Raw genomic sequence first — 13,480 nt, forward strand, 5'->3', positions numbered from 1 at the left:
GTGGATTCTGGAACCGTAAGGGTATGGTTCCCTCCCCTTCCGGTGGAGACAGCAGCCCACAGGAAGCTGAATGGAGAACCAGGTGACACCTGATAGGTATTTTGCCTAATTCTCAGCTATTCACTGATGTGCTTCATTTAGCTTGGAAGAACCACCTGGTTACTCCCTCCAAGTCGTCACTCACAGCTCCATAAATAACTGTGAAGGCTGAAAACTGATTGGATCAGTAGCCTTCATTTCTAGAAATGCCTATGTCAGCAGCACAGCCAGCCACTCTTTGAGAAACAAGGGTGGCTGTCTCTTTAGAAGGGCAGAATCTCTAAGCGCCACCCCCTTTCCACCGCCAGGTCCCACAACAAGTCCCGCAGTTTTTGCTCCTCGATTCCTAGCCAGTTCAACAAGCAAAATGCAAGGATTTCCCTCTGCCCCTCCTTCAGGTGCAGATCACAGGTGACCTTCACAGCCACCACGGGTGGCCACCCTCAGACAAAAGAGCTGTAAGTGACTTTCCATCTGGAACTTCCCATTGGCCCTCCTGGGGCAAGGGCTGGCCCAGGGACAACACACCCCACCATACCACCAGGTGGCCTTTCAAGGGAGGAAGAGTGGCCTGACGAGGCCAGGTGTTGTTATGGGGTTAAAAGCCCGTGGGGGGCGTGAGAGGCAGGTGAACACCTCTAGGGAGGATTCAAACAGCGTCTTTGTTCCAGGCCTCCACAAAAGCCCGGCACTTAGCTGCCTTCAACAAACGGAACAAGGGAAACGAATTCTCTTCAGGGGAAAAGAAAGATCTTCAGAGTGGCTTTTAAGGCTTTCCTAGAGAGGAGGTGGCTAGAGAATGACCTCTGCCAATGTCTAAGCCACTTGGAGCTGTGGCCAGAGGAGGGAATGAAGCAGTTGCAGGCAGGGCAGGTAACTGAGATGACCCAGCCCCCAAGCCGCTGCAGAGAAGGAAAAGCAGCAAAGAGGCAGGACTATGCACTCAAGCTACAGGGACTGTCAGTTGCAATGGGATGAAAAACCAGATTGCTCTTTTTTTTTTGAGACAGAGTCTCGCTTTGTTGCCCAGGCTGGAGGGCAGTGGTGTGATCTCGGCTCACTGCAATCTCTGCCTCCCAGCTTCAAGTGATTCTCCCGCCTCAGCTTCCCGAGTAGCTGGCATTACAGGTGTGCACCACCATACCTAGCTGATTTTTGCGTCACCACGCCCGGCTGATTTTTTGCATTTCTGCTGTGTTGGCCAGGCTGGTCTTGAACTCCTGGCCTCAAGTGATCCACCTCCCTTGGCCTCCCAAAGCGCTGGGATTACAGACGTGAGCCACTGCACCTGGCCTCCAGGTTGCTTCTTGATACTTGTGCGTCCACATCAGTACAGAAAGATGGGGTTTTATGCCAACAAGGACCCCAGCTCTGCACAGCCTCAGTGCAGGGGTCAACCAGGGTGGAGCTGGCTGCCAGTGCCTGATTTTCACCTGTGGCATCCAACAGAGTCATGACAGATACAAATGTAAGGGGGATATTTTCATTCTTTTAATAATGCCATTAAAAATAAAATACATTTTGACACCATGTACCTCCTGCTATGGTACATGGAGAAGGACACATCATCACTTCAGTGGGAGCCTTATCAAAATGTAGACCCCCCCCAACCTAATCATGAAAAAACATCAGACACACCCAAATTGAAACTACAAATTAATTGGCCAGTACTCCTCAAAAGTGCCAAGGTCATGAAAGACAAGCAAAGGCTGAGGAACTATCACAGATGGGAGGGGACTGAGGACATGAATCAACTACATGCGACATGGGATCCTGAACTGGCTCCGGGAACACAAACTGGATAGTGAGGGGAAAATGACGAATTAGAATAAGGTCAGTAGATGAGTTAATAGTATCATTTTAGTGTTAATTTCCCGGTTTTGATCATTATATACAGTTACGGAAGTTGTCAACATTCGGGGAAACTGGATGCAGGATGCACAGAATCCCTCTCGGCTACTTTTGTAACTGCTCAAATACCATTATTTCAACATGAAAAACAGAAGGTACTGGCTTCGGGGACTCTTTAGATGAAGCATGGCTTAGAAGATTTAACCAAATGCAATCAGTGGATTTTGAGTAGACCCTGGCTACAAATAAACTAAAAGTAGAAGACATTTTGGGGGACAGTTTGGGAAGTTTCAATATGGACTGGGTAGTAGATGATAGTAGGGATTTGATGTTAATTTTTTTGGTATATAAAGTATTGGGGTTAAGGAGGAAAATGTCCTTAAGTATATATTGAGGTTTTTAGGGGTAAATGTCTTTGTCTAAATTTACTTTTAAAAAATCAGAATAAAAATAGATGAAAAAAACACTGCAAAATATTAACAGTTGTTCTATCTAGGGGATGGGTACTGATTAGATTACTTACTTTTCTGTGCATTTGAGGAATTACATAATAAAAAGTAAAAATATGTATTTATACATATACGTATATGTATGTGTGTGTGTGTGTGTATATGTATAGGTGTGTGTGCATGGGTGTACATACATAAGGCACTTATGTTTCTCTCCCAAGCGAGACTCTAATGTGAATGACAATTTAACAAACACCTCAACCTCATTTCCAAAAGCCCACTGCATACTTCAAAGTACTCCCCATAGAAGCCATAGGCTTTGTCGGAGACACAGCCAGTCCTCAGAAGAGTTCAGAAACACCTCTTTGTGAAATACCTCCAGAACTTGAAATCCATTCTTAGAAATATCCACAGTAGTAGAAAACCTGCATCTTTTGAAGATTTTTTTTTTTTTTTCAAGAACTAACAGAAAGCAGCCCAGGGAATACTTTGGGTGACTCAATTGTCAGTGATGGGGTGGGTTAATGGGACGAGACAATTAAGTGATAAAAAGGCGTCTCTTGACCAGGCGTGGTGGCTCACGCCTGTAATCCTAGCACTTTGGGAGGCCAAGGCGGGTGGATTGCCTGAGCTTGGGAGTTTGAGACCAGCCTGGGCAACATGGTGAAACCCCGTCTCTACTAAAATACAAAAAACTAGCCAGGCGTGGTGGTAGGCACCTGTATTCCCAGCTACTCAGGAGGCTGAGGCAGGAGAATTGCTTGAACTTGGGAGGCAGAAGTTGCAGTGAGCCAAGATCATGCCTCTGCACTCCAGCCTGGGCAACAGAGCGAGACGCTGTGTCCCCACCACGCCGACCCAAAAAAAAAAAAAAAAGAAGCATCTTTCATGCAGCTGTGCAGCGCCTAGTGAGAGTTGCCCACCCTGGAATGAGCACATCACCTTCCCGCCCAGAGAGGTCAGACCCCTGGCTTCCTACCCCACCAAGGGCACACTCAGAAACTTCTCTCCGTGCCTGAGCAAGTGCAGGCCAGACTCCCTGCTCTGTTCTCCTAAATGACCACCCCCTCCCACTCCTGGGATTCCCTGCAGCCAGAGGAAGGAGCCCAAGAGGGACGGGGATACTCACTGGGGCACGATGGTGATCTGGACAAAGCAGATGAAGAGGAAGACGAGCGAGGCACACGCCACATAGGCACCAAATCGGTCGTCTACCTGCTTGGAGTACTGAGAGGAGACGGGCAGGGTGAGAGGGGCCAAGGTACCTGGCCCGGTCTGCTCCAGCCCTGTCAATCCCACACACCCAGGGAAGCCACTCATGGCTGGTCACCTGTGCAGCCCACTCCCACAACAGGGAAGACTCGAGAACCAGAGTCAAACTTAGACCCCAGGAAACCAGTCCAGATCACCAGAAGGTAGTGCCTATGGAGAGGGCAGTTGAGACAGACCTGAAACCTTCTGCAGGTGGGTCACCTTCAGAGTAATCCATAATGATCATGGCTGTACATGACTGCATGCCATCTACACGCTAGGAAACATGCCAGGTGTCTACAGGCATCATCCAGCACCCCCACAACAGCCCAAGAAGTCGGAATAAAACTGCTGTCATTTCTTCTTCAGAGATGAGCAAGCTGGGCCTCAGAGAGCTCACATGACTTGTCCAAAGTCACATCTGAGGCTCCCAGCCCCAGCTCCGCCCATGATACCAAGCAGCCACACTGATGGAGGTTGGGCTGGCACAGTCACCCAGAGTAACACCCAAGTCAGGTCCATATACTGCTGGTCCCTTTCCACAGCTTCACCTTGCTAATTCAGTTTGCTTGCCTGGTTTAATGCTGATGAGCATACCACAAGTCCATTTTAACTGAACCCTGGGGAGATGCTGCCACAAAGTCCAAAGAGAACTGACTGGACCAGGGTCTGACTCCAGCTCTGTCACTACTTCACTGGGGGGCCGAAAGCAGGTCCCCCAACCACTCTGGGCTTTAGCTTTCTCATTCACAATGTGAAGAAATGCAACAGAGAGATCTTGACTGTCCCTGCCAACTTTAACACCTTGAGGTCCCAATGTGACAAAGCAGTTGGGCTGTCCATTGACAATGATAATAACAATAATGCAAATAGCAACTAATATGCACCGAACGCCTACTATGCGACAGATACTGTTTCATACATAGAAACTGCTGGGCATGGTGGCTCACACCTGTAATCCTAGCATTTTGGGAGACCGAGGCGGGTGGATCACCTGAGGTCAGGAGTTCAAGATCAGCCTGTCCAACATGGTGAAACCCCATCTCTACTAAAAATACAAAAATTAGCTGGGAGTGGTGGCGGGCGCCTATAATCCCAGCTACACAGGAGGCTGAGGCAGGAGAATCACTTGAACCTCGGGGGAGGAGGTTGCAGTGAGCCAAGATCAAGCCACTGGACTCCAGCCTGGCCAACAGAGTGAAACTCCGTCTCAAAAAAAAAAAAAATGAAAAAAGAAAAAAAAAAAGAAACTCATTTCATCCTCACTATGACCCTACGAAGTGGGAATGTTAACTGTCCCCATTTTCCAGATAATGAAACGAAGGCACAGAGAAGTCAAGGTGTATCCCTTCCAACCAGGGAAGCCTCCCTAGAACTCGCATCTCTCTAGGTAGTGCAGCATCAGAGCTGGGGAAACTGAGGCCACCCCTTCCGTGGTGCTGGGGGCATGAGGGAGCCCTCCTGTTTTCTTGCCCTCCTCCTCCTGGTCCTGGTTCAGCACAGGGGCCTCCTTCCCACCCAGGGTGCTGTACCTTCTTCTCTAAGTCAGGCTCCCTGAAGGTCAGGAGGAACTTGCGGACGTGCTCAGACCGAAGCCTATCAATGCTCCTGGCGTCAATGGCACGGCCCAGAAACTCATCCACTTCATCCTCAGGGTTCGCACTCTCCTGGGCGTTCCTGGGGAGCAGAAGGCACGGGCGTGAGACAGGCTGACCACAGGGGCACCAGCAGAGGGCTGGCTCTTCCGACCATCCCCCCAGACTCTCGGAGAGGCCTGGCAGCTGTCCACCATCAGCCCAATCAGGGCAGCGGGAGCTGAGACTGAGACCAGAAGCCTAAGCCGTGCTCTTAACAACTGCACAGATGAACAGACAACTGACCAAGTCTCAGTCCCCTTCGGGCTGAAGGGCCTTGCTGACAGGCTTTTCTGACTCTGTTAACATATTATATTAGCATAACAATGTGAGCTACCATTGACAGTTTAGTTGGACTTTCCCTACAGCTAACAGGCTCTGCTCTTTACCCTCTAGCTCTATCCTTCTGAAAAGAAGCCCTAGATCAGGCAGTGAGAGTTTCTGCCAGTTTCTGCCACAGGGACTGTGGCCCACCTGGTTTCTTTCACCCAGCTCAGGGCACTCTTGAGAAGCAGGTTTCATAGACTTGGAGTGCTGACCTTCAACACCCTGTTTCTCAGGGTGGAGCCCAGTCCTGGAGTGGAATTTCTGACAGTCCTGAGAACCAGAAGTGAAGGAGGGAGAAGAGGGCATTGCCTCGGGGCACTGGATGCCAGGCACTGCTGACCAGTGTGTAAGGTCTGCACTTTCCTGAGGGAGCCATGTGTGCACACGTGCACAAGCGTGTCACGGAGATAAAATGGGCAGTGCTGAGGCTCTGTCCTTCTGCTGGGTGGCCTGGGCTTCTGGGCTGCCCTGGCCTGTCTGGGGCTGCTGCTGACCACCTGACGGCTAGGGTGGGCTCCATTCACTCTCAGCTAAGACTGCAAGAGGAGTCATTTTCCATGGAGTGTGGAGAAACCAAGTGATAAGGTGGATTGGGAGATATCCCCCAGACCCAGGGAGCAGGAATAAGGAAGGGCATATTACTCACTTGTCCTTGGGGTCTTCAAAGCCCTAGAAGAGAAGGATAGAAAGAGAAAGAGAAGAGAATGAGAACAGAGAGAACTGAAAGCTCAGAGGCGTCTAGATGGCTGCAGCTCATCTCTACAGTCTCCCAAAGGACGTGGACATAGAGAGGATTGTCATTCAGCAGCTCCTTTCCTTCCTTCCTTCACTTGGAGAATACAGCTGGGTTCTCCCTAAGAGACAGGTGCTGTGCTAGACGCCGGGGATGCCCTGAGATTTCACTTCATCCACCGGCACAATCCATGTGTCTAAGCTCTTCCTGCCCCCATGCTCAACTCCTTTCCTAAATCTCTCCTCGCCATCCTCCTGCACCCTGGGCTCAGAGGGTCCCCTCTCAATCCTGCCTCTTACTCAGATGGAAATCGGGAATTGCTGGGCTGCACAATCTCTGTCACACGGACACACTCATGCACACTCACCTCCTTGTGTACATCACACCGAGCACACATAAAATCCCCAGGAGTTCGCACATTTTGCACTTAAAAAAACTACACTCTAGTTACCTGCAACAGCTGTTTCAGTAACTGAAAATCAATGCTTTCTTGTAAGGCCACGGTTGTTTGGGGACTCAGAGGGTAAGGAACCCACCTGCCACAGATCTGACTGCTGTTCTATCAGAGTTGAGGGTGGGAAGGGCCCTTACCGGCTGTCAAACTCAAAGCCCTCTTGAATCTATGAATTCCGCAAAGGGAGAGATGTGTGTCGGGGTCTCAGCAGTGGTGGCAGAATGGAGGCTTCCCCACTGTGGGGAGGGGTGGAATCTCAGAGGTGGTGCGGAAGGTGACAAGTAGCCCCAGGACTTGCTGTTTAGATTAGCCTCAGGATGCCAGGACTAGGACAGAGGATGCCCCTTCCCTGGCAGTGTGGAGCACTCTGCTGGGCAAACAGAGTTCGGCAAACACTGGGTGAACCCAAAATCCAAATGAACACACCACTCTTCATTCCCAATGAGGACACGGTTTGAAAATACAAAAAGAGGGATTTATGTTCCTCTCCATGAGCCAGGGCCACCAGGCACTAAAATAGACATGGGGCCCTGGTGGTACAGAGGCTCTACCCCCAGCTGAGGGCTCCAGGGAGCCTCAGCAGCCTCTGGAGTCACCTCCAAGTGACCAACTATAGGCTCTGAGCTCCTCCCGGGCTGCCAGCACCGGCCCAGGATGGCCTGGCAGTTGTCTGCCTAGGCAAACTGCACCCTTCTCCTTGTCCTCTGAGAATGGCCAGGCCCTCCCTCCAGGCTGTAAAGTGGTCCCACGTCACCATCCCAGCCCTGGGCTGGAGGCATAGATGTCACTCAAGTGAGCTCTCCCTCTGGGGGGCAGGCCCGTGCCTGATGCTCCCAGGATCCCTTGGAGCACAGGCGTGGCGGGCAGCAGAGAGCTGGACAGGCGAGCTCCCTGTGGAAGACCCCCTGCGAGGGGTTGGCCCACTCAATTCCATCCCAGGAGCCGGCAAAAATTTTACTACGGAACCGAGAAGAACTGAGCTATATTACATATATGCTGGTCTCTATGGTTCAAAAATAGGCCGAAATGTTGTGAATAAGCCTGTTCTGACCTTTCCCGATGCTCCTTTGGTCACCTGCTGAGGCTGGTGCATGGGACCCATTTTTTCTTCCTGTGCTGAGTAGGGGGCTGGGACCATCCTAACCACACTGCTTGCCATGTTGGTGTGGAGAGCTCAGCGCCAGGTCGGCATGGCGAGTTGGTAACAGTACAGAAAATATACTGGTACACAAACCATGGCAGGGGGGCCATTAAAACACAACAGAGCCGACTGGGCTCAAATCCCGCCACCTACTTACTCTAACAGTTCTAGGACAGCGGCTACTTGGCCTCTCCCAGTCTGCCTACACTCCCTCCTGCAGCACCTGGGCCCCACCCTACCGGCTATTCCTGGGTTTGGTGAGAGGAGCTCAAGCCCACACGTGTCTTCCCACTGGCAACCTTTTTATTAATAAATAACCTTAAAGACCTTATGACACTAGTGCCTAAGCATCAACCAGCACGGCTCATCACTTTTAAAAGCTGGGTAAAAGCTGGAAAAAGATTTAAAAGGCACTGCTGACTCCGACTTCAAACCTTCTAACAGCTCTCACTCACTACTTCGCGCTCCCAGCCCCCCATCCCTGCTTCAGTGGACTGTTTCTCATAAAACTCATCCAGCGTGGGCAGCTCAGGGTGAAAGCTCGCCTTCCATGGATCTCTCTCCAACATTCCAGGCACGTTAGCATGGAAAGCCCAATGGCCCTCGCGGCACTGAGGAACCTGTCTTCATCCCCAGCCTAGATATTCCCACGGGCCACGCTGGAGTGGGTCCCAGAGGCTGTCCATTGATGGCAGCCCCCTCAGGGGACACCAGGCCCAGCCAGGACAGGAGCCTCTGTTCCCACAGCCCTGTTCTTCCACACTCCTTCCCCTCCCTGCTGGGCAAAGCGATGAACGCTGTGGAGGAGACTTCCTGGCAGCCTCCTTCTCCAGAGACTGTCCCTTCCCCATGACAGTCCTGACTGCAAATTCTTCCAAAATTCCTTGTCCTAATGATGAGTAATATATCTGCCAACACAGTGCTTATAGTCCAAACTATCTCCTTTAAGACTCCAAAATAACTAAAGATATAGCTTATATCAAATATCACTAAAAAATAACTTTCCAAGGATTCTGAACAGAAAGAATCTCTCACCACCAGGCCCTGCCTCCCTGCTGGTTGTTCCCTGCTCTTCCCTGGCCACCTCTCTGCCTTCCCCTCCTCCCCATCTCCCTGCCCTACTCCCCAGCTTCCCCTCCACTTCCTGCTCAATGCCTCCTCTCTCTCGGCTCTCCTGCCCCTTTGCTGTCCCTGCTCTCAGTCCTTCCCCCTTTCCCCCTTTCTCCCTTATTTTTATTTTTATTTTTGAGATACGGTCTCGCTCTGTCCCCCAGGCTGGAGTGCAGTGGCGTGATCATGGCTCACTGCAACCTCAACCTCCTGGGCTCAAGTGATCCTCCTGCCTCAGCCTCCCGAGTAGCTAGGACTGAAGGAGCATGCCACTATGCCTAGCTAGTTTTCCTTTTTATTGTTTATAGAGACAGGGTCTCACTATGCTGTCCAGGCTAGTCCTGAACTCTTGACTGCCCTGATCATGTGGGTACAGAGTCTGCAGGAGACTATCAAAGGGCTGGGGTGGCAATGGGGAGGGTGGCCAACTGCTCTTTGCTCAGGGGAGGGAGGGTGGTGGCTGGAGCCCTTAGTGGCACTGACCAGGTCTGTGGACATTCAAGTTTGGAGCCCTGGGGAAGGCCAGGTTTCTCCACTCTGCTGTCTGGTAACCCAGGGCCAAGAGGTGTCTCTACTGTCAGAATGTTAAATGGGGGTCTTGGCTCAATTCACTTTCCCTCCTGTACATTTTCCTTAAGCTCGTATCATCTGCTACATGTTGGCTAACAAGGAGCAGAGCGACTGGGTCCCCAGCATGTCCCCTTCTCCAGGCTCCTGGCTCTTGTCTGCTGACCCTGCTGGATTTCCAGGGAGTCCGTCTCTGATCCCTTCTGCCACAACCTCAACCCAGTCTGCTCCACAGAGCCCAAACTTGGAGCTACTTGTGCAACATGCCCCTCCTTCACTAAGTGGCCACACAGAAACCACACACACACACACACACACACACACACACACACACACACACACACACACACACACACACACACAGTCCCTGTGCCATCCCTCGGCCCTTCCTTGGTATGGGTGACTCCCACCTGGGAACCTGGTGCCCCCGAGCTGAGCAGCATGCCTGAGGGGCAGAAGCCAACCTCTCAGACAGTAGGAGAGGAAACACCACTGCAGTAACGTGGCTTCTTCCTCCTCTTCCCACCAGGAATCCATCTTCCTGTCATTGCTGCCAGAGCCCAGGCAGCACATCCTGAATTCACCTGTCCCGGTGTGTGTAGGCAGGGTCCCTGGAGGTGGAGCTGACACCCGACCATGGCCTCCCCGACTTGCTCAGCCCACATGCTCCCACTGGAAGGCTGGCATTAGTGGGGGGTCTTTCTCAGCACAGAGGGCAAAGGGGACCACCACCTGGCACTTCCCAGAAAGCACTAGGATAGTTTCTGAGCAACTGAACCAAAAGATGTGGTTTCACTTGCCTGAGAAATGCAGGAGGTGCTGGAAGAGGGTATGACAAGCTGGTGCCCACCCAACTCCCTGGGGCCTCACCAGACAGTGCCAAGAGACAGCTGGAGGCTGTGGCTGGCCGAGTCTAGCCAGACATGCCTGCTTCCAGGCTGTGCCGCAAGCTCTGCCAAGAGGGAGGGAGGAAGGGGTGCTGCCAGTCTGTTCCAAAGCCTAATGAGGCATGCCACGGGGTGGTGGGGAGAGCTTGGGGCCAGAAGCAGGTGCCCTACTCCTAGTCCAAAGTTGGGGCAAACCGCACTTGTATTTGCTTGTGTGGCTCCCCAGATTCCCTTGGGCAACACGAGGCATCTGGTGCGGGCCTCATGCCCACAGAAGGCCCTAGCCTTGGAGAGTGTTGCCCACAGGCTGCCCCACCAGCCACTCACCATCCGCTTCATCTCCTTGGACACCTGGTTGCCACCCAGGTGGTTGTAGAAGGGGCGCTCAGCCCCCCAGTGTGGTGGGTTGTGCCCGATGGAGTTGGTTCTCTGGCGGTTCATCTTGGCGATCATGGCCTTCTCTTCTTTCTGGAAGACGAACACAGAGATGGGGGGAGATGAGGAGTCCAAGCGGAGGGCTCCTCACCCTTCCCCAAACATCGTACCTGGCCAGGTAAGGGGCTAAGGCAGCTGCCCTTTCCTCTCTGCACAGCCCTGGAGCCAGAGCTCGGCCCAGATCCTGGAACTCCCCAGGCAAGCATCCTGGATCTCTCCAAACTCCCTAATGCCAGCCCTGGCTGGCTCAGGTGGGAGTGGCAAAAGATGATGAGAGTTGGTCTTGTGAGAAAGCAAAGAGCTTGGGAACATCTGCCATTTGCAAGGAGTTCTCCCTGTAAGTTCGACTGTAAGATTCTATCCTGGGTGCCCTTCTCTCCTCTGGATGGCCTAGGCTCCGAAAGGCCTGAGCTGACGCACCCAGCTGCCCGCACTGTGCTTCCTCCCCCTACTCTGTGGGGCAGGGTGATCAGCGAGGGCTGAGCTTGGGTCTCCCAGGCAGCCAGGCCAACTCATACCTAAGCCTCCCAACTTGGTCCCTGGCAGGCTGTGGTGTCACATCAGGCTTTGCTCATGGGCAGGCCAGGGTAGGGCTCTAGCTACAGCCTCAAGGGTGGGTGGGGCCTGATCTGAAGTTGCCCAGGGGGTACCGGAGGGAGAGGAGACCTGGGATCACAACCTCTGCTCAACTTCTCCAAAATATGCTACAACAGAGAGGGCACTAGGACACGGCCCGGGGCCCAAGAGGCCACTTCCAAAGAGGTTTGGGTCAGTGAAGTTATGAGATTCAAGAGCTGACAGGCATTGTACAAATACACAGAGTCTCAGTCAGCTATCTATGGGCCAACACACTCCCCAGGATCTCATCTATCTGTCTGTCTGTCTATCCATCCAAATGGGTGCAAGAGAGCTAGAGACCTGAGGCAACCCTCCCCTCAACTCCCTCCCTTGTCAGATGAGGTGACGGTGGGGACACAGCCTGCTTCAGCTGACATTGCTGGTGGGGGTGCCTGTTACTCTTTCTGTCTCCATTTCATCCTTTTTGGACCGCTTGTCCAGCTAAAAGAACCAAGAGCCAGGGAACTCAGGGTCTAGGGCAGGAAGCTGCGGGAGGCCTTGTGACCCAGGCACTGAGAGATGTGGGTAAAGAGCCTGGAGGACCCAGTTCATTGATACTATGGCCAAGGAACTGGCCAACGCTTACAAACGTGTCAAGGAAACCATGAGGAGCTGTCCCCACAGGGCCCTGAATCCCCCATCCCTCTTCCTGGTGCCTGTGGAGGGTCTGACACAGCTCCCATGAAGGGCCCCCGAGCCAGGATCTGTCCCCTGGGGTACTGCATGGTAGGATAAGGTGTCCCTCTGATGTCCCTCTTGGCACGGGCACCTGCCCTCAACAGCCCTGCCTGCCTCCCTTTAAAAATCACCTTTGCTGTCATCCAAGACTCTCTGAACTCTTCTCACAGACTAATTTTGTCTTTCGTTTCACTTCTTAGGAAGAGAAATGGGGAAGCTTTTCTCTATCAAAGGGCACTGACTGGCAGATAAATTCCACAGAAAGACTCATAAGTAAAAGGCATTTTAGTTTAGGGAGAAATAGAAAATGTTCTCTTGATTTGCTTTAAAAATTAAGAGCATGGAACATGACACTATTAAAAATAGAACACTGAAGTCTGCTAATAATTTAGCTTTATATTTCAGCAAGTGTGGGCTGAGACAAAGGGGGAAAAAGAAACAGACTAGAAAGGGAAAGGGGAAAATAGGTTCAAGAAACAAAGACATAGGCACATGTGGAGATGGACACCGATCTATGGATCAGAGAGAGAGAGATTAGGGCAAGTGTCCACCCCAGTAAAAGGCAAATGAAAAGGAGAGAGATGGAGATAAAATATACGGTATCCACAGACTCCCTTGATGCTGATTTCCAGCTTGTGGACTTCTGATGTCTTGTTGCTAACTGATTTGAGGCCTGTTGCATTTTTGCAAAAGAAGCACTATTAAAAGATTCCCTCTTTACCATCCTTTTTGCAAGGCCTAACTGCCGGGGTCCTTTTTAAGATGCAGGAACCGCAACTGCATAAGAAATTCATGACTTCACTCAAGGAAAGAGAAGGAAGCAGCAGGTCACGAAAATGTTCCTCCCTGGAGGAAGGGAGCCCCTCAGCCCCCCGGCCCCCAGCCCACAGACCCGCTTCTGGGTGCAGCGCAGGATGAGGAAGGTCTCGATACTGTGCTCCTTGAGGTAGGCGTTGCGCTCGCCCCCACAGCCTGGCTCCACCTCGTAGTCCCCATTCAGGTAGTTGAGTGTAGCCTTGGTGATGTGGATGCGTCTACAGGGGGGCAGGGATCAGGGTGGAGAGGGCAGAAAACTCAAAGTCATAATGTCAGCCCCCGTGAAAAACCAAACTGCAATTAGTGGGTTCACCACAATTCAAACCCTAGGGCCCCAAGCTCTGCTCAAATCCTAACCTCAACCTTGCATGGTACCCTCCATTACTATCAAGTGGGCTCTCATGCCCACTGCAACCACACTGTCTCACACTGAACATCCTGGCACAGACCACTACATTAGCTTGCCCAAGACAACATGGCCTCCAGTCTT

General features: G+C 52.0%; 1 protein-coding gene across 18 annotated transcripts in view, besides 4 other annotated features; it reads right to left on the bottom strand.

Moving 5' to 3' along the window:
• The window catches only part of ADCY5 (adenylate cyclase 5), a 166,795-nt gene that overhangs the window by 32,256 nt on the left and 121,059 nt on the right, over positions 1-13,480 (bottom strand). For all 18 annotated transcript variants that reach the window (NM_183357.3, NM_001378259.1, XM_011512359.3 and 15 more), the window contains 5 exons: positions 13,067-13,208; positions 10,771-10,911; positions 6,198-6,220; positions 5,123-5,267; positions 3,469-3,566 (listed from right to left, as the gene is read on the bottom strand). In NM_183357.3, the coding sequence (NP_899200.1) occupies positions 3,469-3,566; positions 5,123-5,267; positions 6,198-6,220; positions 10,771-10,911; positions 13,067-13,208 (549 nt within the window). The remainder of the gene's footprint in view (positions 1-3,468; positions 3,567-5,122; positions 5,268-6,197; positions 6,221-10,770; positions 10,912-13,066; positions 13,209-13,480) is intronic.
• Positions 79-972: an enhancer, noted in NCBI's record as "OCT4-NANOG-H3K27ac-H3K4me1 hESC enhancer chr3:123033477-123034370 (GRCh37/hg19 assembly coordinates)". NCBI's record gives its function as "activates a minimal SCP1, AML or CMV promoter by ChIP-STARR-seq in naive H9 embryonic stem cells {active_cell/tissue: H9 hESC(naive)}" and the evidence as "EXISTENCE:reporter gene assay evidence [ECO:0000049][PMID:30033119]".
• Positions 973-1,864: an enhancer, noted in NCBI's record as "H3K27ac-H3K4me1 hESC enhancer chr3:123034371-123035262 (GRCh37/hg19 assembly coordinates)". NCBI's record gives its function as "activates a minimal SCP1, AML or CMV promoter by ChIP-STARR-seq in primed H9 embryonic stem cells {active_cell/tissue: H9 hESC(primed)}" and the evidence as "EXISTENCE:reporter gene assay evidence [ECO:0000049][PMID:30033119]".
• Positions 4,682-5,588: an enhancer, noted in NCBI's record as "NANOG-H3K27ac-H3K4me1 hESC enhancer chr3:123038080-123038986 (GRCh37/hg19 assembly coordinates)". NCBI's record gives its function as "activates a minimal SCP1, AML or CMV promoter by ChIP-STARR-seq in naive H9 embryonic stem cells {active_cell/tissue: H9 hESC(naive)}" and the evidence as "EXISTENCE:reporter gene assay evidence [ECO:0000049][PMID:30033119]".
• Positions 5,589-6,495: an enhancer, noted in NCBI's record as "NANOG-H3K27ac-H3K4me1 hESC enhancer chr3:123038987-123039893 (GRCh37/hg19 assembly coordinates)". NCBI's record gives its function as "activates a minimal SCP1, AML or CMV promoter by ChIP-STARR-seq in naive H9 embryonic stem cells {active_cell/tissue: H9 hESC(naive)}" and the evidence as "EXISTENCE:reporter gene assay evidence [ECO:0000049][PMID:30033119]".

This window comes from Homo sapiens, chromosome 3, assembly GCF_000001405.40.
Source record: "Homo sapiens chromosome 3, GRCh38.p14 Primary Assembly".
Taxonomy (NCBI): domain Eukaryota; kingdom Metazoa; phylum Chordata; class Mammalia; order Primates; family Hominidae; genus Homo; species Homo sapiens.